The 8,749-nt window shown below is 43.3% G+C and overlaps 2 annotated features.

The window, feature by feature from the left end:
* Positions 262–1,001: an enhancer, noted in NCBI's record as "NANOG-H3K27ac hESC enhancer chr1:117403882-117404621 (GRCh37/hg19 assembly coordinates)". NCBI's record gives its function as "activates a minimal SCP1, AML or CMV promoter by ChIP-STARR-seq in naive and primed H9 embryonic stem cells {active_cell/tissue: H9 hESC(naive and primed)}" and the evidence as "EXISTENCE:reporter gene assay evidence [ECO:0000049][PMID:30033119]".
* Positions 1,002–1,742: an enhancer, noted in NCBI's record as "NANOG-H3K27ac hESC enhancer chr1:117403141-117403881 (GRCh37/hg19 assembly coordinates)". NCBI's record gives its function as "activates a minimal SCP1, AML or CMV promoter by ChIP-STARR-seq in naive and primed H9 embryonic stem cells {active_cell/tissue: H9 hESC(naive and primed)}" and the evidence as "EXISTENCE:reporter gene assay evidence [ECO:0000049][PMID:30033119]".

The raw sequence follows: 8,749 nt of genomic DNA, 5'->3' as shown, positions 1-8,749 counted from the left end.
TAAATATAATGATTTTATTGAATGTTGATATAATTTAATATTTATTATATTATTTACATGTATCAGAATATCCCATGTATGATGTGCTTATTTCACATTGCATGCCCGTATCAAAACATCTCATGTATCCCCATAAATATATACCTAACGTGGACCCACAAAACATTAAAAATTAAAAAATTTTAGGCCAGGCACGGTGGCTCACGCCTGTAATCCCAGCACTTTGGGAGGCTGAGGCGGGCGGATCACGGGGTCAGGAGATCGAGACCATCCTGGCTAACACGGTGAAACCCTGTCTCTACTAAAAAAGTACAAAAAATTAGCCAGGCGTGGTGGCGGGCACCCGTAGTCCCAGCTACTCTAGAGGCTGAGGCAGGAGAATGGCATGAACCTGGGAGGCAGAGCTTGCAGTGAGTCGAGATGGGGCCACTGCACTCCAGCCTGGGCAATAGTGCAAGACTCCGTCTCAAAAAAAAAAAAAAAATTAAAAAAAAATATCTCCCAAATATGTACAACTATGATATAACAAAAAGTTTAAAAACATATATTTATTAATGGCTGTATTTAACAACCAGCTTGCAACATTCCTGAAAATTTAACAATCAGTTCTTGCAAGTCAGTTTAAGCCAGCTCCAGAATACCACTAGTTTCCTGCTCTTAGTAGCCAACTCTTTTGTTCACATACACAGACACTTCCCTGGTCTCAGGCTGGCCCAACATGGTGGGTTCAGGACAGACGCCAACCTTTGCCACCCAGTGGACCCATCTGACCTAAAGAGAATTCAGTCTGGTTCAGTTGCTTCCAGCCTCAAGGGAACTGTATTGCCTAGACCTTGGGCCATGCCACAATACCATATACTGCTACTTCAGAACCTCAGGGATCAGGGACTTGAACTTTAATCCCTTCCCTCCTAGGGGGCACTGGGCTTCCAGGCAAACAGGTCCTCCACTTACATGCAGATCTGCGTGTGAAAGAAGGGAAGGTTTCGACCCTGAACAAGTGAGAGAGAAAGGGAAAAAAATTCTTTTACAACTTCTCCCAGGATAAAGGGCCTATTTGTCCTACATTTATATAACTAAAAGAGACTGTGAGTGATTTGTCACTGCACAAAGAATATCTGCTTCAGGACGATTTACCCTTCTGCAGGACAATGGGTCCAACACTACTACATAATGTAAGCAACTATAGGAAGCCACTTAAGAGGTTCTTCACAAAGAAAGGAAGACACACATCAAAGTGATTTTCTGTCCTTGACTGTAGAGAGCAACAACTCCCACTATGGAAAAGAAAAACAAAAGTTTATTCTATGGTGTGTGCCTCTGGAGAAGCCTCTGGTCCCCCTCCCTCAGTCTTCTAGTCTTTCCTCCCCACCCTAACTGTCGTTCTTCCTTCCCTAAACATTTATATAGCACCTTCCTTAAAATATGCTACCAAAGTGCTAGGAATGCCAAGATGAGTAAGAGGAGAATACACTCTTGCTCCCCTTCAATTCTTTCTTTACAAATCTGCCACAGTGTTCTTTTAAAAATGCAAACCAATACATAACCCAACTCTCCCGCTTCTCCCTTCCCTTCCTTTCTATTCCCTTTTGTTCTCTTTCTGTCTTAAATATATGTATTGGCTTCTGTCAGGCCTCTGAGCCTAACCTAAGCCATCATATCCCCTGTGACCTGCACCTATACATCCAGATGGCCTGAAGTAACTGAAGAATCACAAAAGAAGTGATATTTAAATGGCCTGTTCCTGCCTTAACTGATGACATTCCACCACAAAAGAAGTGAAAATGGCTGGTCCTTGCCTTAACTGATGACATTATCTTGTGAAATTCCTTCTCCTCATCCTGGCTCAAAAAGCTCCCCCACTGAGCACCTTGTGACCACCCCCCCAACTCCTGCCCACCAGAGAACAAGCCCCTTTTGACTGTAATTTTCCTTTACCTACCCAAATCTTATAAAACGACCCCACCTCTATCTCCCTTTGCTGACTCTTTTCAGACTCATCCCTCCTGCACCCAGGTGAAATAAACAGCCTTGTTGCTCACTGCTCACACAAAGCCTATTTGGTGGTCTCTTCACATGGACACGAGTGAAAGCTTCTTGCTTTTTTTCCTTCATCCAAAAAAAAAAAAAAGCAATAATCTGAATGAGGTAGGTAGCCAGTTCAGAGGACGCAGGCTCAGGAGGGGTGAGCTGGGTGGGGCATGAATTGGGAGATTGGCTACATACAGGTAAATTGAGATAATGGGAGCCAGGCTTCCACTGTTGGAGAAGGGAAACACTGACATGGAAAGGGGGGAACCAAAATGATCTTCATGGTATTACCACTGTGTAAATTGTGCTTTAGATAGGCAGGCAGGTAGGCTGGTAGGTAGATAGATATGTTACCAGAAAGGGGTCCCGATCCAGACCCCAAGAGAAGTTCTTGGATCTCACCCAAGAAAGAATTCAGGAAGGCAAGCCCATAAAGTGAAAGCAAGTTCATTAAAGAAGTAAAGGAGGCCAGGTGCGGTGGCTTACGCCTGTAATCTCAGCACTTTGGGAGGCTGAGGTGGGCAGATCACGAGGTCAGGAGATCGAGACCATCCTGGCTAACACGGTGAAACCCTGTCTCTATTAAAAATACAAAAACAAAATTAGCCGGGCGCAGTGGCGGGTGCCTGTAGTCCCAGCTACTTGGGAGGCTGAGGCAGGAGAATGGCGTGAACCCGGGAGGCGGCGCTTGCAGTGAGCCGAGATCGCACCACTGCACTCCAGCCTGGGTGACAGAGTGAAACTCCTTCTCAAAAAAAAAAAAGAAGTAAAGGAATAAAGAATAGCCACTCCATAGGCAGAGCAGCTCCCCTGAGGGCTGCTGGTTGCCCATTTTTATGGTTATTTCTTGATGACATGCTAAACAAGGGGTGGATTATTCATATCTCCCCTTTTTAGACCATATAGGGTAACTTCCTGAGGTTGCCATGGCATTTGTAAACTGTCATGGCGCTGGTGGGAGTGCAGCAGTGAGGACGACCAGAGGTCTCTCTCATCGCCATCTTGGTTTTGGTGGGTTTTGGCTGGTTTCTTTACTGAAATTTTACCAGCAAGGTCTTTATGACCTGTACCTTGTGCCAACCTTCTGTCTCATCCTGTGACTTAGAATGCCTTAACCTCCTGGGAATGCAGCCCAACAGGTCTCAGCCTCATTTCACTCAGGCCCTATTCAAGATGGAGTTGCTGTTTCAAATGCCTCTGACAGATAGATAGAGATAACTATAAATAGATAAAGAAATAATGAAAAGAGATATAAGTTTCTCTCTGTGTGTGTGCGCACGTGTGTGTGTAGGACTGACATCCCAGTAACAATAGTCCTGAGTACTGAGTAAACATAGTGCTCAGATCTTAGTTCCCAGAAGCATTTTCCACTACAAGGAATGATGGTTTCCTTGGACAAATAGCTGATTCCAGGGCTGTGGCAGGGAAAGAACAACATAAGCCTGGGATATCTTATTGTAAGGCACTTCTCCAAGAATGATGAGGGTGTGTCAAAAAGATACCAAAACCAGCTTGAAAGGGCCTCTACTGACCAAATCTGGGACAATATGAGAATCAAAATAAATAATTATAATCCATTGAATAAAATAGAAGTTTCTGTGTTCACACAGATACAGATATACAAATGAACAAATGAAAATGAAGAAAATTATTTCTTACCGTAAAAAGCCAACTATTAAATACAGAATAATCTTTTTAGCCTAGGAGGTTGAGGCTGCAGTGAGCTGTGATTGTGCCACCGCACTCCAGTCTGGGTGACAGAACAAGATCCTGTGTCAAATAATAATAAACAGAATGAATGAATAAATAAATAAATAAATGGTGAGAAAATCACTATTTGACGGTCATCAGTGTAAGAATTAATTCAGGCAAGAAACATCAATGGATGATGGTGGATGTGGGTCAGTATGGGTGAGGGCAGGGCCCAGGCGCGCCCACTCCATCTCTTGGCATTTCCAGATCAGTGTGGCGGGAATGCTCAGGCAGATGTCCCTCAGAATTGTACCTGCATCGATATGGCTGGCCTGGGTGCACAACTCTGTCCATCTCTCACACTCTGTCTCCTTCTTTACTGCTTGTGATGTTTCTAATTCATGAGCTTGAACACAATTTTATAAACGGTTTCCAAGCTGTTCCTGGAATTAAGCATGATACTATAATATCTTCTAACACAATAATGATATAACAGCTAACATTGGCTAGGCCCAGTGGATCATACCCATAATCCCAGCACTCTGGGAGGCTGAAGAGGGAGAATTACTTGAGGCCAGCAGCTACAGACCAGCCTGGACAACATAGTGAGATCCCATCTCTACAATAAAATAAAAAATTAGCCAGGCATGGTGGCACATGCCTGTAGTCCCCAGGTACTTGGGAGGCTGAGGTGGGAGGATTGTTTGAGCCCAGGGGTTCAAGACCAGCCTGGGCAACATTAAGGAGACCTCGTCTCTATTAAAAATAACTGAATAAAATCAAGTAAAAAATAACAGCTGTCTGAGATTGGTGGTTCACATATATTGGGAGGCTGAGGCAGAAAGATTGCTCGAGGCTAGGAGTTCAAGACTAGCCTGGCAGCATAGTGAGACTATGTTGCTACAAAATAAAATAAAATAAAAGCAAATATTTGAGTGCTTTCCACGTGCCACATGGTTTTACATGTATTCTCTAATTTAATCCTTACAATATTTCTTCCAGGAAAGATACTCTTATCCACACTCTACCTATGAGAACACTTAGGCCCAAAGACATTAAATAATAACTTAGTAAGAAAAAGGAGCTGGCTTACAAATGCTGATAATATGACTTAAGGACCTGCTAGCGTCACCAGGAGACTGTGCTGTCCCTGGAATATAAATCTGCTCCTAACAGGACTAGCCTGTGTGCATCGGGAGAATGTCTCAGATAAGACCCAAAAGGACAATGTCTAAGTAACTATAATTGGCATTAATCAGCTAATGGAACACATGCCCAGGCAGCTATGGGCACTCGTCTTCTGGTGACATTTATGTCTTCAAATGTAGTTTTCTTTTTCTCCTGCACATACTTAGATTGCCTATGATGATGTAAACTGGGAGGAATGATTGGAAGCAGTGGAGACAGTGGGAGAAGTCAGACCAGGTTCAGATAATAAGGAGTGCATTAGTCTGTACAGGGTTTTAAAATAATAATAAAACTGGCCAGGTGTGGTGGCTCATGCCTGTAATCCCAGCACTTTGGGAGGCCAAGGTGGGCAGATCCCCTGAGGTCAGGAGTTTAAGACCAGCCTGCCCAACATGGTGAAACCCTGTCTCTACAAAAAAAAAAAAAAAAAAAAAAATTATCCGGGCATGATGGGGGGTGCCTGTAATCCCAGCTACTGAGGAGGCCGAGGCGGGAGAATTGCTTGAACCTGGGAGGTGGAGGTTGCAGTGAGCCGCGATCGCGCCATTGTACTTCAGCGTGGGCGACAGAGCGAGACTCTGTCTCAAAATAAATAAATAAAATAATAATAATAATAAAACCAACTAAATGCCATCTGGTTTGTATAATCACATGAGCCGTGGCAATTCCGAACAATGTAAGTGACAAAATGCTCCTCCCAGCCAAGGGCTAACTCTTCTACCCTTGGAATGCTGCTTGTTGAAAGAGAACCATCTTAGTAGATTCTGAGCTTTTTTCAGCTTTGAATTCCCAGAATGTGCTATGTGTCGGATATAATAGATGCTCAAGAAACATTAAGTTGAAAATAACAAAATTGAGCTCAGATATATCCTCAGCCCTTTAAAATCTGGGCTGGAGATCCCCAAAAGTCTTTGTCATCTCTCACAAAGTCTGGTGTCATCTCTCACAAGAAAACTTGCAGCCACACAGGCCCCCTCTGTTAAAACACAGGAAAACTGAGGTAGCTGCCCAAGAAATGTAGGCAAAGTTGGAGCTTTGCTGGAATGCTACAGACTTGATTTTTCACTCTGCACTTGCAGTGGTTACCAGGCATGCCACCAAGTGATTTTATTTACACATTTTATTTCCTTTTTTGGAAAACCATTACAAATCCCCTCAGAATTCAGAATATTAAAGCATCTATTAGTTCTAGTTGGGCTTGGGAAGCTGAGTGCTTAGAAAATACTCCTCCTACTGCACAGGCACCCTCCACACTCTCAAATTACCCAAACCAGCTCATAATTGGGACCAGCTGGCAGGAGGAGAGAGGGAGGCCCCTGCGCTGAGCTTGGAATCATGTTACAAATTTCATCCCTAGAAAGAGGCTAGCCTTCACCCATTAAGGGTTAAGATGTGGGAAGTCAAAGGAATAGTGCTTAGGAGCTGGAATTTAAATTGGCTAAATAGAACCTGAAAATGAAGTGTTCACATTAGCAATGGTAGCTCCTTGCTTTGTCTAGAACGAAGTATGTATGGAATAACTGAGTGGACTGCACAGGGCTACAGCATCAGCCGGATTTTGCTTTATTGTTTGTCTTTCCAAAACTGGCATAACTGACCTGCATCCCACTCAATATCTTTCCTTTCCCCAAAATTATTCCACTTAGTTTGGGAGCACAGACTTCCCTATCTGTGCACCAGGAAAGGGCAGGTTTAAAATGAGTAGTGTCTGTGACACCTGGTGCTCTCTCATTGCCAGTATTTCTCGAGATCCACTTTCTCCTGCATTCATGCTAGATCTTCTAGGCACTGAAGCTTGTGCCCCCGCCCTGCTTTGGTCTGAGCCAGAACAACAGCTCTGCTCTTGGAGAGCAACTCATGAGGCCAGCCCTCCCAGCCTTGGCCGTGGGCTTCCCAGCCTGGATAGGGAATCTGGAGGAAATGAAACAAGCCCTCAGAGCCAGTGAACCATTATTCAGGAGAGCCTGGGCGCAGTGGTAGCTGTTAGTGGCTGGTGACCGTGGTGCTGGTGGCACTGTCCCAGACATGTGGTTTTCAGTGGTGTGACCTTGGCTGTCTTTTCTGGTGCCAACACCCTTGGTTTTTGCCTGTTTACTGAGCCAGATTCTCCAGGCTTCCTGTGGATTCTGTGAACTACTTGATTGCTCTGCAATAAATATTTTCTGCTTAACAGAGTCGATTTCTGGTGTCAGAAACCAAGAACTCTGACTGGTACAGCATCTGTCCCTGCAAGATTCAGGAAACCAAGTCCAGTGCTCAAGAGGGAGAAGAGATTAAAGAAAACAGAAGTAGAATATAGAAAGGAAATAAAAAAGCAGAAAAAGGGTGCAGCATTGTGGAAGCGTGGGGAGAAGGAAGGAGTGTGGGGGAAGAAAGTAGAGGAATTGGCAGGTGAGACAGAGCAGCCTGGAAGGGGTCATTCACCTTGTTAATGCTTGTAATAGGAGCCCTGAAGAAAACTGCCAAAGTGGCCTCCCTGAGGTATTTCTGCATTTCTGTTTCTGGTGGACAACGTGGTTTAAATGATTTTATGTGGCTGTTTCAGGAACAACAGATCCTTGATTTGGGCTTGCTTTTGGAAATAAATGAAGGTGTTAGCTTTTACTTTTTGCATTTATCAAATGTGCTGCGTGCTTGGAAGCGCACAGATATACGGACATGCATATGCATAGTGTGATATGATAAATCTATGCACGAGAAATGTGGGTCTTGGGCTAGTTATGTAGGTGGGGGAATTTTATGTAACAAGCCTATTCAATATCTCAAAGGGAAAATGTTACTTACTGTGCCACATTAGCATATCATTTGTTTTATTGGGAAGGCAGAATGAAAAATATTTGACAATTAATAGAAATCATAGGAAAAATTATGATTAAGTGCCATCTGCTGGCTTCTGTAAGTTTTATTTTTACGCAGCCTCAAGCCTGTCCTCATAATTATTGAATGTCTCTCTTTTGCTGAGGATAAAATTGCTTGTTCCATATTTGGCCTATTAATGAGTGCTGCATTTTATGTGTGTGTGTGTGTGTGTGTGTGTATGTACATGTGTGTGAATGGAACTACTTTGGGAGAGCAAATTCACCTTACAGAAATCCATTTTCTTCTAAATTCTGATTTGAGAGAGTAGACTGGGGTTTATTTTAAAATTCTGTTTTCGTAGCAGATTGCAAAAGCTCTGTGTGCTTAGCATGTGTATGGAAGGGGGAAGGTAGGGGGATGGTGCTTTGAAAGTGACTTCTCTCTTTGGTTTCAATCCTCTCCTCTGAGAGTGTATACGGTTTGCATCTCAAAAGCTCTGTCTAGCTTATGGCAGGTGAGGAATTTCCACGTCTCATTTTGATGACATTGCAACAAGGGAGCCTCTGATCACTCAGAAGTTGGTGGGGGTGGGGAAAAAGAAAAAACAGGTTCCATGTGGACATGTTTGACCCCTTCCTCTGCGTCTAGCTCTGGAGCTCAGACTGGAACTGCTCAGCAGGAAACAGGTCTTGCTGCTAGTAAATTACCATGACTGTGTTTACATGGTGAGTCAACAGGCATAGGTCAGCTCTCCTTCTCTCCAAGCAGTCCCTTGAGCTGATGATTTATCTGGGTAAATCACATTCCAAATCAATTTTATTTTTGGCTGTGATTAATGAAATTGGTTTTCAATAGTTCCCAGATAATGATAATAGTTACCATTTAGTAAGTGCCTGTGACATACTAGAAACTATGATAGACTATTTCAAAATTTTTTCTTAGCACTGATTTATTTATGTGTGAAATCTCTCTTTGAATTTCAACATCTAGTGTTAAGTAAGTGTCCCTTTTATTATTTTAATGTTACATTTGATACATA

The sequence above is a fragment of the Homo sapiens genome, chromosome 1 (assembly GCF_000001405.40).
Source record: "Homo sapiens chromosome 1, GRCh38.p14 Primary Assembly".
Classification (NCBI taxonomy): domain Eukaryota; kingdom Metazoa; phylum Chordata; class Mammalia; order Primates; family Hominidae; genus Homo; species Homo sapiens.
Note: the sequence above shows the minus strand (reverse complement) of the source record. Positions and strands in the feature narration are given on the sequence as shown.